Genomic DNA, 23,406 nt, shown 5'->3' on the forward strand with positions numbered 1-23,406 from the left:
AATTTTTATAATATTTTAGTAAAAAATGCCAGTCACAATTAATCTAGGGAGTTTATATGTAGAATTTTTACAAAGCAGGATTTGAGCCTATGGCTTAAGGCCAGCTTACATTTTTATGGATTTCTGCATTGCAGACAGCTTTTTAAATCCAGGAATTAACGAAAGATTGGTCTTCACAAGCTTGTCATATTGAAATGTTGGTAAAAATCTACTGAGTACTTTAAATGGTTCAGTGAGAGAATTGTCCAGAGAAGAAATGGTATTACTCTGATGTTGAAACAGTTCAATACAAAACAATTGCTCTTTCCCTTTTCCCACTTTAGCCCATGAGGAGATTTTATGCTCTTTGTCTCTGGATCTCTAGAGAATGCTTCCTTATTTTATATCATCTGGTTTTCCCTACTCAAATTACTTTAAAAAATAATTTCTCATCTCATTTTTTTCATTTTTTTCTCCCTGTAATTTGTGATAATTAAGATGATAATAAGCTTGGGTAAGACAAATTACAACCAAAGAAATGAAGTGTAGTAGCAACAGTACACACATGAGAACAAAATAAATTTTACTTACGCTGTTTGTGCTTTTTTAATTTGTAATTCGACTCAGTTATCAAATCATAGAATGTGTTTGCTGTATATGAAAAAGAAGTGGTTTCTCAGAAATCTGTTGTTCCCTGTGAAGGATAAAACTTTTACCTTTCCTTATTTTAATGACTTTTAGAAAGTAAACTGATATTCAATGAATGTCTTATTTATATACATGTATCTATCTATACACATATGTGTAAACTAGTCATTATGCCCCATAATTAGGGAAGACAATGCTGTTATAGATAGCTGGTCGCTTATAGGGCAGGAAAGGGCTCCTTCACACACACACACACACACGCACACACACACACACACACACACACCAGGAGTGTCTGGCGACCATCAGGAGATGATCAGGCAGTTTTTAACTGTTTCTCTAAAGTAATAATTGTTCACAGGTGGCACAAGGGAAAGCTGGTTCCTAATAGACAGAAAACACCTGAAAGTGATGCTCAGCACCTTCCTGATAAGATCTCAGGAGTTGTGCGAGTGGGGAGAAGTAACATATCACCCCAGAAGTATGCCAGCCTATAAAACCCCAAGTCAAAAGGTCAAGCCTCACACTTGCCTTTCAAGTCACCCACTTAGCCCTCTCCCAAGTGTACTTTCCTGCCTTTTATTACTGTTCTAAAGCTTTTTACTAAACTGTCACTTCTGCTCTAAAACATGCCTCGGTATCTCCTTCTGCCTTATCCCCCTCTGTCGAATTCATTCTTCTCAGGAGGCAAGAACTGAGGTTGCTGTAGACCCATACGGATTCGCCACAATGCCAGATGCAAATGATTACCAGAAGAGCTCAGCCTGCTAGCTAATCCCAGATGTCATCAGTGTCCAGAGTATGGTGAAAAACATTTATTTTGTTTTTCCCATAAGACACTGATTCTCAAAGTATGGACACTGAACTGGCAGCATCAGCATCACCAGGGAACTTGTTAAAAATGCAAATCTCAGGCACTATCCCAAACCCACTGAATCTGAAATTCTGCGGTTGGTGCCTTGCTCTCTATTTTAGTTCAAGTCCTCCAGGTCATTCTGTTGTGCTCTAAAGCTAGAGACTAATGAAAAAGGTAACTTTGCAGGCCCTGTAGAATCCATCAGTCTAGACAGACTCTCCAAAGTGCCTGCCGTAATCGAGTTTCTCTTTCCTTTAGTCCTGGCTCTACCTTGTAGTATACCTGCACTACCTGAGCCTCATTAGCTGTTCCTACTCACTGAAACTTGGGGCTTGTCTCTGTCTTGATGGGCTTAACGGTAATTCTTCAGGGAAGAGCACCTGTCTTTCTTGCCATATTTATTACTTCTGCTAGCAGCGATTCAATGCCTTATTGTACAAATAGTTCAGTTCCCAGTAGTGATGAAGATGAGAGGACCGAGATCCACATTCTGCCACATGTACTAAAAGTGGGGTGACCATATTGGGACAATTCTGATTTCCACCATTGCTTCAGCATAATTAATACTCCTTTTACTCTTCTAGGTGCTCTAATTTAGTTGGTAAATTATATTTCAGTGAACCTAAATCATAAGCAATCCTAACATTGTTGGAAACTGGTCTAAGAAGGCGTCACTAAGAAGGAAATGTTTTGGGCATAAAAATGAAAGCTATCTTTTTACAATAGGTAGGCCAGACAGAACTGGAGATTGGGATGGGACAAACTTAGAGGCTGAGAGATCTTAGTGGCTGCAAGTTCCAGACAAAGATGGGAAGCAGTAGGTTCCACTATGGGAAGCCCAATTAATAGTTTGAAGGGGCTAGTGTCTGGTGGAAGTGGTAATAGATAAAGCTGATGGGAGAGGGGTGATGTGAGGTAAAGTATTCCAGAGGGGCAAGGGAAAATTTTGTTTCTTATTGTTGCCCCAATAACATATCACTTTAGGTTCTTTGAGTAGTTCTTAGGAAGAAACCTACTATTCTTTGTTTCCCTGTACAAACACAAGTTCTATGTATTCGAAATGTTTATTGCTCTATTTTCCATCAGTTCTCGGCTATATTTCAATGTAATGTAGCAGAATAATAATTTACTTTCACTTTTGTTTGAAATATTCAAATTCAGTTTAAAAAATACCAGCCAGATGATTCACATTCCATAATATTCTGTGCCTTTATCACATAGCAGAACACTAATGTGGGACTATTGAGATTTGTGGCCTGTTGAGAAGAGAATAGAGGAAAATATCCAGATATCTAACTGATGTGTTGTGATATTGTTTTTCTGAATATTAATATGGTGAATGAATTTTGCAGTTATAAAATGATCATATCGGAATTTTTTTCTGTCACCATTTACCCTACTAAAAATTATATGTTCCATGTAGTTTTTGGAAATTGTTTACAAAGCACATGTTGCATGGCAAAGCTAATTTAAAACATAAAGAAATATTACTAAATGATGATAAAAATAGTTAATTTGATTTTACAAAATTAACAATATTTCCTTTTTTGTTGTTGAACAGCAAAGATGCATTTGGCATTGCTAAAGCTTCGAAGGCTTTGCCCTGGACATTGCTTGTAAAGGGACCCCTTGTTATGGGTATCATTACTTAATTGTTACATTTTTCTAACTATTAATATAGATTACATTTCAGAGTTAATAGCTGCCTGTAAAGGAAAAGAACAATTAATAATTTCCTACATTATCCTTTGTTTGAATACCACATAATGTATTAATGCGTTTGCTTAAATATTATGTTTTGAATACAAGTAGTAATTAATATTGTGTTTTAATTTAAAAAGCAGTTTATAATAACTATAACTGACTGAAGGATGGGGTTAGCCTGGCAATCTTTATGAAGCTATATATGAGGAGATAAGAATATTTCATTATGCCACAGATTATCTGATTCTTATTTTACTGTTATATAAAAAAGCACCATATATTTAAATTTCATTTCATATCTGTATCTGTAGAGTTAGCATATACAAGTATTTCATAAGTAATGTGTTTTTTATTTATAAATGTAACTTATTTATAATTCTGTTTTCTTAATTTTCTAACCCAAGAATTAGTGTTTATTTGTTCTGGGAGATAAGAAAGCCACAGAATGTTAGGCGACAAACTAAGAAAGTGATATGAAACTTTTTGTAGAAATAGATGAGTGATCTCCAAGTCTTAGTCTTAAAATTTTGTCACTTGCTTTTGAAAAAAACAGAAAGTCTTTATAATCGTAGGCTTACCTTTACTCAGCATTGTTTACTAACTGAAGTTTAGAAATACTTAAATGCAAGCAGTGGCATTTATTTATTTATTTATGAATGAATGACAAGGTCTCACTCTGTCGCCCAGGCTGAAGTGCAGTGGCGCAATCTCAGCTCACTGCAACCTCCGCCTCCCGGGTTCAAGCAATTCTCCTGCCTCGGACACCCTAGTAGCTGGGACTGCAGGCACCCACCACTGTGCCTGGCTAATTTTTGTATTTTTAATAGAGACTGGCTTTCACCATGTTGGCCAGGCTGGTCTCGAACTCCAGACCTCTGGTGATCCACCTGCCTTGGCCTCCCAAAGTGCTGGGATTACAGGCGTGAGCCACTGCGTCCAGCCAGCTATGGTTTATTTTAAATCCTTAAAATAGAGGTATTTCTTTTTTATTGAAGAAATGGTCTTTTGCGTTGGAAGACAATTTGTAATATTCATTAAATAAACAGTAAATAATGGGCTCTTTGGCCACCAGAGAGCATTTAGCATTTTTATTTTTTTTGTTTTTATCTTTCCCTTTTATTTTAGGTTCACGTACAGGTTACACATGCATGATACACGTGTGGGATACACGTGCAGGTTTGCTATGTAGGTAAATTGTGTGTCACAAGGGCTTGGTGGACAGATTATTTTATCACTCTAGTAATAAGTATAGTACCCAAGGGGCAGTTTTTTGATCTGCCCCCTCCCAACTTCCACCCTCAAGTAGCTCCTCGTGTCCATTGTTCCCTTTTTGTGTCCACATGTACTCAATGTTTAGCTCCCACTTATAAGTGAGAACATGGTGGTGTTTGGTTTTCTGTTCCTGTGTTAGTTTGCTTCAGATTATGGCCTCCAGTTCCACCCAGGTTACTGCAGAGGACATGATCTCATTCTTTTTTGTGGCTGCATAGTATTCCATGGTGTGTGTATACCACATTTTCTTTATCCATTCTACCATTGATGAGCATTTAGGTTAATTCCACGTCTTTGCTATTGTGACTACTGTTAACAATAAACATATACATGCATGTGTCTATGATAGAACGATTTCTATTATTTCGCGTATGTACACAATAATGGGATTGCTGTGTAAAATGGTAATTCTGCTTTAAGTTCTTTGAGAAATCAGCATACTGCTTTCCACAGAAGCTGAACTAGTTTGCATTCCCACCAGTAGTGTATAAGCCTTCCCTTTTCTCTGCAACCTTGCCAGCATCTGTTATTTTTTGACTTTTTAATAATAGCCATTCTGACTGGTGTGAGATGGTATCTCATTGTGGTTTTGATTTGCATTTCTCTAATGATTAGGGATATTGAGCATTTTTTCACATGCTTGTTGGCTGTGTATATGTCTTCTTGACATTTTCAAAGTTTTATGTTTTTGTGTGCAACTCAGAACTTAATCATTTTTATAACTATTTTTAGTACTTTTAAATTCTTGAACTTTAAACAAACATGAAACCTCAAACAGGAAGAGATAATAATTATACCACAACTTGAAAAACCTGGAAACTATATGGATGGCTTCAGCGTATGTTTGTCATCCTTTAATTTGGTTTTTATTTGAATATCCGTATCAGATAAGGCTTAGCATTACTACCGTTACTGTTCAATCTCAATTAAAAAAGTGGCCTATTGTCTCTGTCTGTATATTTATGGCATTAAAATTGGGCCTAACTTTTGTTTTCTTTACCCTCACAATATGTTTCTGGGATAGCATTATATAATAATTTTTGAGGTACAGTTGAAAGAGTTCTGTGACTCTGTCTGCAGTAATTCTAACCTTGTAAAGCTAACCTGAAAGTAATCTCACAAATCTGAACTTGTTAATATTTATTCCATAATTATTATTAAATCTAATTGAGTAAATTAATGCTTAATCTACCTTCCTATGTTTATCAGTAATTTAATATTAAATATGAGAAATGCATATTCATCAATATGAATATACCTGTTTGTACATATGCGTCAGAGACAGGAGCTAATTAATGTAATAACAATGGAAATCAGCTCAACTCATATTTGTAATATAGCTTTAAATTTATTCATCATATATCTTGCTGAATAGTCTATAGACGATTTCTTTTTAAGAAAAAAAAATGTTTAAGTTAGCAAATAGAAACCTTGAAATGTTCCATAGTTAAGCAAAAAGCATATAAATAATCTCTAAATAATGAGTATGTTATTAAATCTTAGCTTCAAATCACCTTTACCACTGTACTTATTTTTCTTTAATAACAGCTTTATTGTTTCATGGGATTTTCTGAGTTGAAGCTCACTGGTTTTTATACTTTTCAGGTCAGTTTCTTCTGGAAGAAGCTCGTCTCATAGAAGCAGCTGAGATGGCAAAAAAAGCAGCTGAACTAGACAGCACAGAGTTTGATGTTGTCTTCAATGCTGCCCACATGCTCAGGTTAGTTTTTTTGCTGCTGTGCCTCAAAGCCTAGGCTTTGAGAGGGTAATTAATTATACGAATTTTCCCATCATACACCTTATTCCACATTCTCAATGTGAGTCAATCACGCTGCTTAACTATGTAAAAAATTAGAAATATTGTATTCATTATAGGCTATTCAAGCTTATCCAGCCGGTGGCCCACGGGCCACATGTGATCCAGGACAGCTTTGAATGCATTCCAATGCAAATTCATAAACTTTCTTTAAACATTATTATGAGGTGCTTTGCTTTTTCTTTCTTTTTTTTTTAAGCTCATCAGCTATTATTAGTGTTACTGTATTTTATGTGTGGCCCCAAGACAATTCTTCTTCCAATGTGGCCCAGGGAAGCCAAAAGATTGGACTCCCCTGGTCTATGTGCACCATGTGTAGGGCATATGAGTTTTTAGGACTTTCTGAAAATTACTGCGACCTCCTTTCCCTTCCCTCTAAAAACTACTAGTCATAAAATACAAAAAGGAAACTGCAAAATGGAATATAATACATGTCTAATTAAATGTCTCCAAAGCAAAACATTATGTCAGTAAACTGCATCTCAATATTTGTGTTTTTATGTTAATTATATTGACTGTGGCATGTGGATACATTTTAATGTTTAATAGTGGAGAGGATTATCAAATACAAGTATACTTAAGGCCCATGAAATTCTCAAAATAGCCCTGTAATCAACACTATTGCTTTGTCATGAAACAATACATTTTTTTTAACTTTTAATTCTTCTGTTTTCAGAAGACTATTACAAAGGCTAATTACAATGAGAGCAAAAAAACTAAAATATAAGGCCAGATTATCAGGTTTTTTTGTGTGTGAATATAAAGAAAGTCAGTACATCCATAAATGGTTCTTTAGATTAAAGGAGGATGTTTTTAACTGGTTTTAATCAAATGATTTATATCGTTGTTTAAAAAGCATTATTTGTCATGTTAGTTATATATATATGTACATGTAACTCCTCCCATATTCTTACTTGAATATCACTTCATTAAATCCCTACTTAAATGCTTCATTAAATGACTTCTATACTGTCATCTCTGTGCGTGGCTTCCAGGGATAGATTTATAATTACATAGATTACTCTTACAAGGAAAGAATAATAACAGAGAAGTTGGTTCACAATTGGATGGTGACATCCAATTTTTAAAATGAGGACATTTGAAAAAAGTAGAAGGACTATTTTTTTTAGCTTTTAAGATGATTGTAGATTCACCTGTAGTTATAAAAAATAATACAGAGACATTTTAGTTGAATGTCATAATTCAACATTCATGTTAGCATCCCTAAAGTACTTGTTTTGTGATGAACTCAAGAAAGCTGACACCTACAAAGGGAAATCAGGATTCAATTGACTATTGGTATATTTATAAAATAAACTGAAACCAATCTGCAAGAGCCTTCAATGCAAAGATAATTTTTAAAAGACACCTCAATTTGTGTGACAAGGTTAGGTACTGTTACAGAGATAAGGACTTTTTGTTCCTCATGAATAAAACACTATGCTTTCAGCCACAATAAACAATTTGCAAGAATGGGAAAGCACAAATACAGACAGGCAAATTCATCTTGATAATAACAGATACTTTTATCAACAAGGCATTTTGCTACATATTAAATCCATGTCTGAAATTCAAGGTCTACCAATAGAAACCCATTATAAGTGTATTACAAAATAAAGTCCTTGTTAAAGACATCACTTATGATTTTTTCTTAGTTGCCTTAGTGCTAGAAACCAGTGGAAAGTTTTTGTTATATACTGGCAGTGAGGAAATCTTTAGGATTTATTTTCAGAACCTCCTCTCCGGCTTTCTCTGGTCTGCATCCATCATTAAGTTGCAGTCAGTCGGTGCCCTCCTATATTGACTGCAAGAGTGACCACAGCAGCCTGACTTTCTCCTACTCAACTGGATGGCAGTCTTCGTGAATGTTTTTACTTAGCTTTTCTGTTTTTCACCTCTGTCAAATTCAAGCATTTCTGTAGTGCTTGCTGTCAAGCTGAATACCAGTCTGTTTTCTTATCAGTTGAGAACATTCAGGGCTTTGTTTGCCTAAAGGAGTAAGAAAGGTTACTGGTTTCCCCTTGAATATGCTTTTGTCAAAATGGTCAGTTATCAAAATTTTGCTTATTTAATGTTACATGTAAATTTTCTCCTGGGGGTGATGCCACATAGTTCTAAATTAAGTTTGATATTCTTTTCTCAGGAACTATGTCCTTTTGAGAGATATTTAGGAGACAAAATTGACAGGGTTTAGTGACCATTTGGGTGTGAGAGAGACTGGGTGTCTCCTGGTTGTGTCTCACTTGGTTCGCTAGATAAGTGGTTTACCCACTATCCCAAATCAGCAATTTAGGGAAAGTTATAGTTCAAGAAAAGGTTTGAACATACTGATTTAACTTACCTTTTCTTGGCAAATTTCCAATGTAATGACCAAAAGAATCTATAAATGGGGGGAGGGGGAGCGGGAGCTGCTCATTACAAATGTAGCAAAAAGAAAAAAATTGTCATTCCATCTGAATGAGATTAGATTGGAAGAAGTGAGATCCTGAGGCCAGCCATCAAGGGGCAAATCTTTATCTTACTGGGACCTTCAAGAGGTTTGAAATTTGAGAAATTTCCAATAGACCCATTCCAGCCACCAGAAATGGACAAAGATCTTTCTCTGTAGAATAAGCTAATATAAAGTTTTGAAATATATTATTCAATTTGGCAGTTCAGATAAGAATGACAAGTCAGAGGTATCAAAATAAAGGGCCTCAGTGAAGCAGGTTTACATTAAAAACATAAGAGCCTCTTAGAGGGTCTCTAAATTCCTGTCATCAAAGTGCTTCACCAGAACACTCTGAGGTGGAAGTAGTATTAATGTCATTCAGAAAGTTTGCTTGGCCCTTTGTTTTAGAGAACCACAGTAGGATTGCACTTTCCTGCCTTCCTTGAAGCTGAAGTCCTGCATGCCTCTTATTTGTCAATGAATGTATGTGAATGTGATGTATGGCATTTTTGAGCCAAAGCTCTAAGACTCAGTGCTTTTCCCTTTCTCTGACTTAGAAATTGTGGAAATGTAGATCCCTAAGTGACGAAAGAGAGACAAACCTCCCTCCTCACCTGCGCTGGATAGGTTCAATGAGTGAGAAGTAAACTTTGTTGTCTTAATTCAGTGAGACTTAGAAGGTATTTATTCCCAAAGTATAACCTAACTTAGCTGATACAAAATATGTCTGTGCAAAGAAATAGGTAAGTAGAAATAGGAACATTATAATGTCGGGAAAAGATTACTAAGAGATTAATAGGGTCTCTGAATGTATAACAGCAATGGAGGTAGTGTACAATTAATGAGCTAATAATTTAACTAGAAGCTATAAATATTTCCCCAGAAATTGATGCAAAATACTAAAAACATGAAAATGGTGACTGAATAAAAGATTGGAGGATAGATTGGGAACTCACATGCATAATTATAAGTAATTACACTTGTAATTATATATATGTTTGTATAGTTCCACATACTATATATGCTCATAATTATATATGTGTATATAATTATATGTCATTTATATATATAGTATACATATGATAGTTTTATTTATGTATAAATATGCATATATAATTACATACTGTATATTTGTGCATGTAGTTTTATATAGCATATATGCTATATATAATTTTATTTGTGTATATGTAAATGTTAATAAGAACAGAATTTTCTGAAAAAGAGCATAGAGTAGATAAAGAATTATCCAGAGATAGAGAAAATTTCCAAAATAGGATGATCTTCATTCATCATAATGAAGGCAAAATCAATGAAAATGGTTTGTTTCTAAGCTGTTTTCATGTAAAGACCAGCTTTTAGTTGTGTACTAAAGAATCATTCTTGCTATTTTGTGCAGCAACAAGATTTTCTAAAGAGTGTTCTATAACCTACAGACTCTACCAGTGGGGTTGGGAGCTCTACTCTACACAGCTAGGAATAATTCCCAACCACCCAGAATTCCCTTGGGCTCAGCAGCTTTTACAGTTCAGGAGCTGTGCCACCATCACCCACAAGGAACCCAGCAGAGTGTGCATCACATTTATTAGAAGATGATTCTCCTGGGCCTAGCTGCTTCCCATTATGCTTACCTCTGAATTCCATTCTCTTGAGATTGCATCTGATGAGTGGAAACTGAGTCCTGTGCTAAACGAAAGTTAGAAGATCAGTGAATTTCTGGCTTCTGCCTTGCTTGAGAATGTGGGATCCTTGTTCTGGCTGATTACCAATTGTATTCATAGGGAAGATGATCACAGATGTTGAGTGGCCTCTCATAAAGAATGTTGACAATACATGGTGACATTTTTAGTACTTCAAACAAAGTGAAAAGTTACTAGATGCTTCCAGATGAGAGCATAAAAAAGCAGATTGGTTATCATTAAAGGAAAATAAAGGAATTTAAAATGCTAGAACACAGTAGAGTTATATCTATAGCGTTATGAGAAGAAACTATTGAATCATTTATTCTATTAGAAACATTTTCCGTGAATGGATTTATTCAGCTTTTCCAAAGAACTGGAAGCTGGAGAGTACATGAAGATACTTGATATCTGAGAGGAAATATAGAGGGACTAAAAACAAACTTTACATGGTTTACAGCATTCATAGGCTCTAGTGGAAGGGGTGTGTGTGTGTGTGTGTGTGTGTGTGTATGTGTGTGTGTTTAATCTACTTACAGGGTAAGGGATAAAAGTAGCATTTGTTCAAACATCTTCTGTCTGCCTGGCACTATACTTTGCTTTTATGTCTGTCACTCTGTTACCTCTGAGTGTACATCTGTGAAGTAAACGTTATAAATCTTCCTATCTTATAGATGAGCATACTGAGACTCAAAGTCAATACTCTTCTCTGTATTTACCACTGGTAAAGCAGGGGTTAAGGCTTAATGTAGTATGATACTGTTTTTACTTTGTCACATTGGCTCCCTTATATTTTACACCTGACTGATGGCTTACATGCTATGATTCTTGACTTTATTGATAGAGAAAACAATTTACAGAGTAACAGATTGTGGAATGTGTAAATAAATGCTCAGTAGTGAGGGCTTTCCAATATTATTAAATTATACTTTTATAATAAATTTTGTAAAGTAGACAGAGTCATTGGAGAACTCCAACTTTGTATTCTCAAAGAGATATTAACATTTTTAGAAGTATCATCATGATTTAGTCTCTGATGTGGGTCACGCATGCAGCTGAGACGTGTGCACTTTCCTTTTTTCTAGGCCTAAGGGTGGAAACTATCACTGTTCCCCAAAGGTAGTAAAAATAGCAAAACTCTACCATACCAACTGGTTCTAATTTCTTCCCTAATTTCTAGAGAGCAGAGTGAATATATGAGAAAGAATCATTATCTTTTAATTTTTATATTCAAATCACAGAATATTATGTAATCAATATATTGAAAACATAAAATTTAGAAACGCTAACTTCTTTATACATTCTACTGGAAGTCACATAAAATTTAAATTCTTAAATGAGAAAAAAAACAGAATCAAATTGTTTTCACAAATCAGATTGTGTGTGCTTACGTGTGTGTATCTTGGGGATGTGTGTATATATTTCCAGCGCCCTCTGGACCATACATTTTCTTCCTTAACACTTCCAAACTTACCAAAACCACGCGAAAGTCACTGGATTTTTCAATTATAAGTTATATTTTACTTCCAATTTACAATCACAAGGCTCTTATTTCAACCATGCTGTAATGGACCATAGGGTCTTCAGAGCAAAGTGGGGTGGCAGATGAGGTTGAAGGTGGGCGTCTTTCAACCCTGTGCCTTTCCGGTATTAACATGCAAGTGAACACCTGGGGAATGTTGTTAAAATGCATGCTATGATTTAGTAGATTGGGGTAGTACTTGTGATTTTACGCTTCTAGGAAATCCCAGGAGAAGCTTAGAACGTTGATTCTTGGACCACCACTTCAGGCAAGTTCTATCCTGCCATTTCTCTTTCACCCATTGCAATTCCTTCTCCTTATCCAAACATTACACCTTGAACCTAAGTGGTAATTTACTACATGTGAATATAACAGTTGACATTGCCGATACACATACCCTCTCTTTTAATTTTTCCCACTACACATAATTATATAATCTTTCTAGATATGGGTTTAACTCTGCCCTTAGCAGCCCCCGAACAGTTTGAGGCCGTGAAAGAATAGTCTTAAACTGTCATGGGGCATCAAGGAATTTCTCAGAGGGACTTTTTAAAAAATTATATTGTCAGCGTAGTTTTTTCTTCTTATTGCTACACTTTTTCTTTACCGCTCTACTCTTTTCCTTTAAAATTCAGAAGCCATTTTCAGTGTCTTGACAGAGAAGTTTTCATCTAAGAAGGCTTAATGGTCATAAACAATTTATTGTAGAAGTTTCATTGCAAGGATCTTTTCTGCTCCATTGTTTTTACATATGTATGACTCTGGTTTCACTATTTTAAGATCTTCTGTACATTTTTATGTCTTTGATTATTTCAGTTCTACTTCTGTTCCTACTGTATAACATATCAACTAGAATTAAAATTTAGTACTGCTTTGAGTAACTTAAAACTAAGCATCAGAGCCTGGCAAGAATCCAGGAGAACCCAGCTAATTTCCTCTGTTTTTATGTTACATGAACAACAATCTCTCTCCAGTTAAAAAAAAATGCTCATAAGCTATTCTTGAAAATAATTACCAAGACTTTACTGAAATATTATCTTTTGTATGTATCCGTGGTTTTTATATTAATTTTTAATTCAAATTGACAATTCACAACTATCAATAATTGTAGTTAGAGAGTTTTACTTCTAAATGCCACTAGTTTTTATTATTTATATTTCTAAAGAAGAAATTTTAAATTTAGCAGTTTTATAATTCTCACAGAATACATAAAAATGTGGTTAATCGTAAGTGGTTCTTTTAATCAGATTCGCTTCAAACATTTCATAGGGTATATTAAGTTATTCTATTACATTATTGATTCCCAACTTTCTCTTTACATCTTTCTTTATAAGACTGTTGGGCCATAAACATGTGTTCCAAAATATACTTTTCTAAAATAACACCAGGGAGTGGAATTAGATATAAGAAATATATATATTTAACAGATGCAAATTTTATAGTCCCATGTACAAAAATGGAATTCCGCAGTACGCAAATGATGAAATTTGTTTATGAGTTTTGTTATTGTCTGTTTGCTTTCGATCTGAGAGTATATTTTCACTGATGGTAAAAAAACAAAACCAACCAACAAAACAAAAAACCCTGAATCTAAAGACTTAAAATATAATCAACTCACTCCAGTGATTTCTTGGGAATTCAGGGTTTACTTCCTAGTCCAGTTCACAAATACTGTGTGGACTTTTTTCTTCTTCCTTACCCTTCCTGGCCCTGAGAGACCAGAGGTAATGTGAAGAGTGGGAGGTCCCAACAGCTATGATAGGTAGGAGTTGGTAATGAGAAAGGAGCCTCCGTCTGAGTCTCCAGTTGTTGTCTATTGTTGGCATAGGGATTAAATATTTAATGCTCCAGATATGTGACATAACAATGTTGACTCCTAGGGTGGCATGTTAAACGGAGCAAGTTGCCCATCTGGATCCATTGTGGGTTCCTGGTATGAATGATTTTTCCTTCTCACTACCTCACTCCTGGCTTTGTAAAGTGTGTTTTGGTCAGAATGCAAAGTTGTTTACATCTGGCCAGCAAGATTTCTTGCAGAGCCACTGCTTTCCTCTTCACTCACCTTCAAAGCCTTCTCTTAATACTTGGACACTTGGGAAAAGTTTCCACTATATCTAATTGTGAGCTTTTAAAAATGAGATATTTCAGGAAGTAAGAAAGTGGGTATCTGGCACTGTTTTTGCATTATCCTCGTTTTTAAAATGTGGTTAATAATAATAATTGCTTCATGGTGGTATTGTAACTGGTAAATGAAATAATCTATTCCTGGATAGAGGATTTAGAAATTTTCTGTCCCAAAAAAGAAATAGGGAAGGAAGAAGGGATACGAGTATGCAGGAAGTGTTATTTTATTGTCTGCTTTAATAGTCTCGGGAACCTGAGTCCTGCGATCAGTCCCTAACAACGTTATGGTTGAAGTTCTTGACAATATTTAGTAGAATCTCTAAGCAACTGGCAGAATACTGCTAAATTCTTTACTTTTCAAATATTGATTAATGATTCAATCATCCCTACAGTTAAGATTTATTAAGTGCTCCCAGGATGCTGTGTGCAGAGCCGTGTATGAAATACAGCAAACACTGTAAAATGGGCATTGGACACTTCCTCATGAGTTATTCTCCTTTGTCTAGAGAATAAAATGAGGATATAAATGAGCATTCCGTGGGTACAACTGACGTATTCTTTTCCCTACAGTTTTCCATGTTCTGCCATAAACACATGCTGATTAGTAGTTTATAAAGACTGTTTAATATTAGAAGCAAGGTCCTAGAGGGAAAATTAATTTGTGTAGTTATATGACATATATAGTAAATCCTAGTGGGGTTTTTTTCCCACCTCATCAGAATTTCATCAATTCTACTTCTAGCTTAAGAAATTAAGTTTTCTAACCTAGATATTTCCTTTGAGAACTAAAGCACTGAATAATACGAAGACTTTAAAAACTAATAACCATTTTGGGGGGCAGTAAAACCTTTTAAAAATTAAGTTTATTATTATTTTCAAGGCATTTTATCTGATGGATTCCCCAGTTTCTCTTTTGATCCTTATCTACCTCATTATTAAATGTCCATAAAGATGAATATTAATAGTAGCTATACTTTCCATGTTGGGCATCTATCTATTGGTTGATCTCACTTCAAAGTAACTGACTTCTTTGTAGTATTAAGTTACTCCAATTTCCTACCTGCATGCCTTTTATTTTCCTCGGGAGAAAACCTTTCCAGGGCATGACCTAATGAATTCTGGTTCAGATTTCCAAATGAATCTGTACCAAATTGATTCTATAATTTGGTGGAGGGAACCTTTATTAAATACCCTAGTGAGGGAATTTTTACTGTTTCCTACCAAACTAAAGTACTTCTCTTGACATTGAAATTGAGCTTTAACATTTATGAGAATATAAATTGCAACAGCACGTTGTAACATGTCATGGGTCCAGTAGAGCCTTAGGTCAAGGGTTTTTACTTTCTTTATAACCTCTATTAAAAATAGCAGTGTTTTTAATTATTTTTCATTGAAAAATTAGAAAAATATGTCCTACACTCCAGAGAGATGTTATCTTCAGTTATTTCCATAATTTATATGGTTGCATGGGGTATGTTTTTATAGTTTGTATTTGGCTTGACCAAAGTACAAATTCACTTTTATAGATATGGCTAGTTAACCTTCTCTTTTAAAACTTGAATATGTTTTTCTAATTGAGAAAGTTAATTTTTGTGTTCTCTTCATCCTTTTCCTGTCATCTTCTTGTCTCAATAGCTTCTTTACATCACAGCTTCAAGAGAACACCACTCCATTTTAACTGCAGGACCCCCAGCCATTTACCATTATTGTCACATCATAGATATGCTATATACATCATCTGAAATTGAATTTGGCATTTTCCTGTAGCATTTTTTCTGTACCCTTCAAATATTGTCACCAGATTCCAGCTCAACCTCCGCAAGCTTCTTAGATCTTATTACCTGCCATCTTAGAAGGTCTTCTGAAGCAGCACGATATGATCAAAAAATATATTGTATATTAAAGAACGACTGGCTGGACTTCCTTAGAACCCTGCTTCTGGTAATGAGTTGGGTGAACCTAGGTCTTTTCTGTGAATCACAGGAATAGGCAGTGAACAAATCTGTCTGTAAATTTCAGTGCACATCTTATTTGTACAAGTCAGTTGCGCTACTAACAGGATTTGGCTGTGAGCAAGAGAAACTGACTGTAGCTATTTGAAGGCTATGGGAGCTACAGAATTCACTGTAAGCTGGAAGGCTTAAATCGGCAGGAAACAAGGTAGCCTCAGTGGCCCAGAAGTGAGATATACAAAAGCAGTTCTTTACAGGAAGAGTCTGGCTAGTAAATAGTCCCATTGCTTCTACCATTGCGAATGAATTCTGGCCTTGCTTTCATCTTTCTGTCACTTAGGAATGAAAGTCCTAAGTAACGAGAACATCCATTTAGCTGAGGTTAAGTCATGTGCTATAACCCTGGTGTCCAAAGTCCAAGGGGACACATAATCTGGACTTTTTATTTTTTCTGTTAACTACACAGGAAAACATGGAAAGTTCCCTCCATACTGGAAAGAAAGTGTCTTTCTAGACAGATGTGGAATTTTGAAAGTCCTGCAGATCTTTACTGTTTTTATAAAACGAAAGCAATAATTACTAATTTTGACAATTTATTTTTAAAATTGAGATTTTTCTGGGGTATCATGTTGATGCTGGAGAACCCCACCACTATAATATATTACCTAGTTTTGCATGGAAAAGTAGGATAACTTTTCTAATTCCTAATATGTAAATGTGAAATAACACCCGCTGAATAGGATTATGTTAAGATACTATTTATAATGCCTTAAATACATTAACAAGTGCAATGCAAACACTCAATTTTTAAGTCTTTTTCTGCTTGGGCAATTTATTGTTTGGTGTGACCAGAATTTTTTTAAAAATTAACATTATTTTACTGCACAGTGATCCTATTTGTAATTCTAAAATATATGATATAGTTTTATTTTATTTTTTCTTTTACAGACAGGCTAGCCTCAATGAAGCAGCTGAGAAGTATTATGATCTGGCAGCCAGGCTGAGGCCTAATGTAAGTACTTCCCTAATGAGAAACATTTTCAGAGGGATAGACTCCAAGCATATGATAGGTGTAAGAAGCATCATGATACTGGTTTTTTGTTTTTTGTTTTGTTTTGTTTTGTTTTTTCTTTCTCCCTTTCTCTCTCTGAGCTCTTATTTTGAATACCTACTAAACAGCTAATTCAACAGTAAAATCTGCCGGCCTCAAGCTTCTTTTTCTAGAGGTAGATTTGCTGTCTTCTAGCCTGTATAAAGCAACATAAGATTTTTATCACTTGAACACCGGCTTTGGCATCACTCTAAATACTTTGTATTTGGATAACTTTTAAAATCAATTCCTTGAAGGGTTTTTTGGCTGTGGCATTAAATACCTATTATTGTTTGATTCTCATATATAGTCAGACCTCAAGCTGTATGCCTCTTTTCTATTCCACAGCCCTCATTTCTAATAACTGTGCTTTTCAACTTTATCAAGAATGTTTTTATTACAATTTTTCTCTGGGTAATCATGCTTCTATAAAGTAAGATGGATATAAATTAGATCTTTTCTATTGAAATAGAGTAACCATCTATAAGAAAATAAGAACTGGTTTTGCCTCGGTCTTCTAAGCATGTTTTATTTGCAACACATCTCTGAACTCCAACACATTGCTTTTATTTTCATATACCTTCTGCATCTCTCACCAATGCTAAAATCTTCTACCCTGTTCTTCACATCAAGACCATCTATTGGGAAATGTAATTTTGTAACAGTAATGAAAGTGCACATGTGATGTGAGTGCAAATAATGGGATCAGTCTCATTTCTTTATAGTAACTCATCCATTGGGCAAGCATCTATAGAGTGCCTGCTTTGTGGTAGAATACAGAGATTTTGTATCTTAAAGGACCACACAGTGTAGCAGACAAGACTGAACACAATCAACTAATTGAAATACAGTGTAGTGATTCTTATACAGAGGTATATACAGTCTTCTGGGAGCACAAAGAGGAGGATTAATGTTCCCTGAAAGAGACCTATGTGGGAGGTAGCTATTTTTCTTTTCAGGAGATTCATCCACTTGCAACCTTAGCCCTGAATCTCAACGCCTCGAAGTTTTATTTGTAGGGGCAAAAAAACATATCTTTTTCTTAAGCATCCTAAGGCTCATGGCTGAGACCCCTAAAACAAAAGAGAGATTAACAATAGAAAAGCATACAAATGTATTTAATATACATTTTACCTGATATGGGAGCCTTCAGAAATGATGACCCAGGAAAATATTTTTTATAGACATCATGCAGAAGTATGATTAGAAGACAAAAGGTTATGATCTCATGGTAATCAGTTGGGAGGAACTTAGAAAGTCCTGTTTGTTCTTCTTCTCTTTTTCCCTGTGTATTCAGAGATAAAGTGTTAATGAGGGTCTTATTACCTACCACAGGGGAGAAGGGAGGGAGAAAGTTATAAAATAACCCTCCTTCTTCTGCAGTTTTGTTTTTTTTTTCAGCTTAAAATACTAAGTATTACAAGGAACCATACTTTGGGTGGCTATTCTGAATGCTGTCACATTAATTATGAGATGTTTCAAGAATTGATAGGCAGTTTGCAACAGAAGAAAATAACTTAATAATCATATGTTAAGAACAATGACAGCTAAAATTTATTGAGCACTTATTATTATGTGCTAAGCACTGTGCTAAGTACTTCATTTCTCACAACAACCCACAGATACCTTTGTGATCCCTATTCTGTGGAAGGGCTGAGAAGTTAATAACTCACCCACCATCCAAACTAAATGGAATCACACTGTAACCCAGGTCACTGAATACATAAGAGAAAGCTTGGTGGAAAATATCTTAGAGAGGAAAGGCAAGCCAGAAATTTGGAAAACCTAAATAATGATAGTCATTTTATTTATTCAGTAATATTTACAGAGTACCAGGTATTACTTTAGGCAGTGGCTATACAGCAGTGAACAAAATGGTTAGGAGCTACAATCTAGTCTGAGGAGAAGGAGCTAGTATGTCAGACAGTGATAAGTGCTTTGGAGAAAGCTGGAGCAGCACAAGTGGGTTAAGAGTTACAGCAGGGAACGGGGTGGCATGCACTAGGCATGGTTTTGTAAATGCCCTAGTTGGGCAGCTTTGTGTAGTATTTCTAGGAAAAGGGTTGAATTTGAAGTCTTATTATTACAACTTCATTAAAGGCAGAGATCAGAGTTTTTCTTTTTTTTTTATTGCCTTCACATTAATAGAATGCTGTGAATATACATAATTCATGATAGTTAAATGCAATTGTTTTTTGAGTACTAGTCACTTGAGTATCATGTTGATTTTTGGTCAAGTGGTTGGTCAAATGACCATCTTCAGCATATTACAATGGATTCTTGAGAGAAGAACTACCTGAGCTATCTGACCTGAACTAAAAAATGAAAGACACTTGGATACTACAAGACTTGAGTCTGATTTGTGAAATAGTTAATTTTAAAAGACTAACCAAATCATAAAATCAGTATTTAATCTCCAACTCAAAGCCCTTTTTTTCTGAACCCTCAAAATGTTTCTTCATAAAACCACTCCAGACTGCCTTTGAAAATATGTTTATTCAAATGATACTTTCCTTATCTGGCAACAATACTTTTTAAATGGATGGGATAGAATAAAATGTTCATATTTAACAGTAAATAAATGATGTTACCATTGATGGATCAACAGATGTGGTTTTTTCCTAATCTATTTTCAGAATTGTGTTTTGACTTACAGTATGTGGTCTAGGTGAGTAAAACACCACAGCACAGAGGAAACAGTGATAAAATACAACCATGGCAATAATATAAATTTCTCCCATCTAAGTACTAACCAGCCCAACCCTGCTTAGCTTCCAAGATCAGACAAGATAGTAATATAAATTTCTGTTCTGAAATGAAGAGACCTATTTAAACAATAACCGTGTAATGATTTATTAGCAATGACACATCTGATCTGATTTAAAGCATTCATTTAACATTTATCCTGTTCATAGCTGTTTATTACCTTTATTCATAAAAAACATTCTTTGTTATTTCTCTGCTTTTAACTTAATTTGTTACCTGCCTATATGATAGCATAGCGAACAGACTTCAACTGCCGTCTTCTATTTAAATAGTTCCATTGTCTTTTCTAGTTTTATCCCCTACACAGTAATCTAATCTTACTCTTAATTTTTCTTCTAAAGCATTTTCTTCTATTTTTAAGTACCCCTGAGAGGGTAAAAATCTGTAGCTGTATGTGGGAGATTCTGTGAATGTTTCTGCAATGTTCATGTCAGGTCACTACTATACAAAGTAAAATATGAAGCTGCAACCTTCATTACAGTCACATTAAATAGCTTGCTGATTGTCTGTAGGATATTCTTTCTTAATAAAATACCTATTCCATTTCTTCAATATGTCCCATGATGAATTTCTTTATTTTTTCTATGATATGAAAGCCATATTTTCCACATAATTTACTTTGAAATTGTTAAATGTATTTTTGCATCATTTTATATATGAAGAATTCCAGTGATCAAATACTAAAATAATGAAAGATGTCTAAATTAACAGGCACAAAATAAGTTTTATATTCTGATACTGTCTCTTTATCAGAGATGTTTAATACCTTGTTGTTTACCAAAATACATAGTTAGAGAAGTCTATTTATTACAAAATGATACCATTACCATTTTAAAATTTTATTTACTTGATTTTTGGGGCTGATTGTCCTAAAATTAAACCTTATAATACATTAAAACATGTTTCTATAATAGGAAAACTCCTTACCGAAATTGCCATTTTAAGTTTTTTTAGTTTTAATTTTTTTTTGGTTTTAAATAAATTGACCTTTCTTTGGAGGTTACTTTAAATAGACAACAGTCTTCTCTGTCTTCTCTCTCACTAATGGGCATGAAAAAATGCTGACTCTCAAGGACTAGAGGGGATATTAAATGAAACTGCTTTGTTCTTCCTGTGGGAATTAAGCCAAATTCTGCATTAACTTATGGATTTTTAAAAAATGGTTAATGTGAAGAATGGGAAATTTGCATACTACAAAGTCACCTGCTTTTACTTGGCTTTTAGTAAACTCTAGAATTAGAAGAGGGTAATTACCAATGATAGATCTGTACATCTTGTATTTTGGGGAATGTAATTGTTTTTAGTATGAATTTATTCAACTTATTTTTTATCAAGTTCCAGCTTTATGTAAGACTGTGCCAAATGTAGTAGGATTTGAAAGTTATGAAAAATTAACCTTGTCCTTAAGAAATGTACAATCTAATGTGGGGAGGGAGTAGAGGAGAGAACACCGGAATTTCAATCCTCAAACATCAGGGCAGTAAATAATGGCATCTAATAAGTGCTTTGTGAGACACATGAGCTAGGTGTAAGCAAAGCGCACAGGAGAGAGAAATGACATTCAGCTGGATTGAGCTGAAGAGGCACTGAGTCACAGTTGACAAGCTAAAAGAAGGTTGAAATGATAGGATGCTTATAAGTAAGGATTTTAGCAAGAACAAGGAGAGAATTCTGGCAGGGAGAACTATACACATGAACTAGGGCAAGGGGAGGGTATGGAAAGGAAGGGTATAGGGGAAGATAGAAATGGAAACTAGCATAAAACTACATGAAAGGTAGTGGATACCATACTAAAAATGTGGAGTTTGTATTTTAAAATGTTATTAAGCAAAGTGACATAATGAAAATAGTAATTTAGAGTGGCGATTTATATGATGAATTGAAAAATGTCAGTTGTGTTTGAGGAAATAGAGTTGGGAGATACAGCCTTGGGAAAACTAAATAAAAGGTCATGGTAATAGTATAGGCATAAGGTAGTGAAACTAAAGTACAGAAATTGAGAGGAATGGAAAATAACATAAAGATAAATTAAGCAATAGATTATTTCAAAAGATCTGATTAAGATAATTAGTTGGCCACCATATATGTTCCAAAATTTTGATTTTAGGTAACCTAGAAGAAAAGAAATACCACAAATATAAAAAAATTGTAATCAGAGGGCTTTATTCTAAGAACCAAATGTTTAGACTGAGCAAATTCTGAGTGAGAGAATTTGCTTATTCTAATATTCTCATGGGGCATTCCTATCAAGGAAGGAGTTAGAAGAAAGGCCATAGTTAGGGATAGAGATGTGGGAGTCATTTGCAAAAAGGAAATGGTACCAAAGAATTGGGTAACATCAACAATGGAGGGAATATACAAAAGAGAAGAGAATCAATTTCAGGCATTTGGGAATTTCTACATTTTAAATTTCGAATAAGGAAGGCAGCCAAGACAGTGACAGGGCATAGAAACCAAAGTTAATGAGCAGGGAACCCTGCTGTAAAAAAAAGAAAAACAAGGACAGAAAAAATCCATCAACTTCTGAGAGTAAGGATATTTGTGCCCTTTGGGAGTGCAGTTTCACATAAGTGATGTGAGCAGTTAAGGAGATGAAGAATTGGAAGTGGGTGGTGTAAGACTTATGCAGTAATGATGTTTGGAAATAAATATTTGAATTTATTACAAATTAAAGATACATGTTGAGATGTTTGTGTCTGTGTGTTAAATAGGATACTAAAAATGTGTGTGTGCATGTGAATATGAGACTGAAAATGTGTCCAAGGTGAGTGGGGGGTGCAAAGGAAATATCAGAGATATTTAAGGGTTGCTTCCTCCCCAGTGACTGAAGAAGAAAAAGGAGACTGTGAAGATACAGAGGGGAAAACAAAACTAGAAATAGAGGGGAGGTAACTTTAGGTAGTAAATTATTTAAGTTATGGTCATTTGGTTATCTGCTAATCCTGTGGGGGAAGAAAGGATAGAATTTTATGTTAAAGACTCATGGACAACTGCATGTTCTGAGGAGCACAGTAGGTAATATTTGATGCAGGCCTGTACTATCTACATGGAATAAATAAGTACCAATGAGGACACATTTTTTTGGTGATCACTGGTAGATTACTTCTAGTTTGGACTCAGCTCTCTGATTTATATGCTAACTGTTGTATTTGCATTTTGCATTTCTAATATTTAGAATATTTTATAAATATTCCATGTGTATTTAGTATATATGAATTAAAAGGAGAATATCTTTCAAGGATTATGTTATCAATAGAGAACTTCATATATGCATTATGTCTTTCCCAGGTACTTAGAACATAAATTATTTCAGAACATTATTATAAAATCAAAGCCAGTGTTATCCATTTGGGCTCTTTAGCAATGATTATATGTCAAAAGATTAAACTGAGAAACATGGAAAGAGAAGAATCAAATAAATGAGCTTATTGACAAAAAGCAGCTGTGTTATGAGGTAGTCCACATATTCTGTAATGTATTACTTTCAATTTGACTATCATTTTTATAGTGAATATGGTAGTAGGGGAATGACTGTGGAGTGGAAATAACCACTAAGACTGAGCTCTGGGG

The 23,406-nt window shown here is 34.7% G+C and overlaps 1 protein-coding gene across 5 annotated transcripts in view; it reads left to right on the forward strand.

Moving 5' to 3' along the window:
• The window catches only part of TMTC2 (transmembrane O-mannosyltransferase targeting cadherins 2), a 447,961-nt gene that overhangs the window by 357,934 nt on the left and 66,621 nt on the right, over positions 1–23,406 (forward strand). For 4 of the 5 annotated variants that reach the window (XM_017018884.3, NM_152588.3, NM_001320321.2 and 1 more), the window contains 2 exons: positions 6,065–6,179; positions 16,929–16,992. In XM_017018884.3, coding sequence (XP_016874373.1) covers positions 6,065–6,179; positions 16,929–16,992 — 179 coding nt within the window. Of the gene's footprint in view, positions 1–6,064; positions 6,180–16,928; positions 16,993–23,406 lie in introns of those variants that run through there. The other variant, XM_047428396.1, reaches the window with a different exon arrangement.

Source organism: Homo sapiens, chromosome 12 (assembly GCF_000001405.40).
Source record: "Homo sapiens chromosome 12, GRCh38.p14 Primary Assembly".
NCBI lineage: Eukaryota > Metazoa > Chordata > Mammalia > Primates > Hominidae > Homo > Homo sapiens.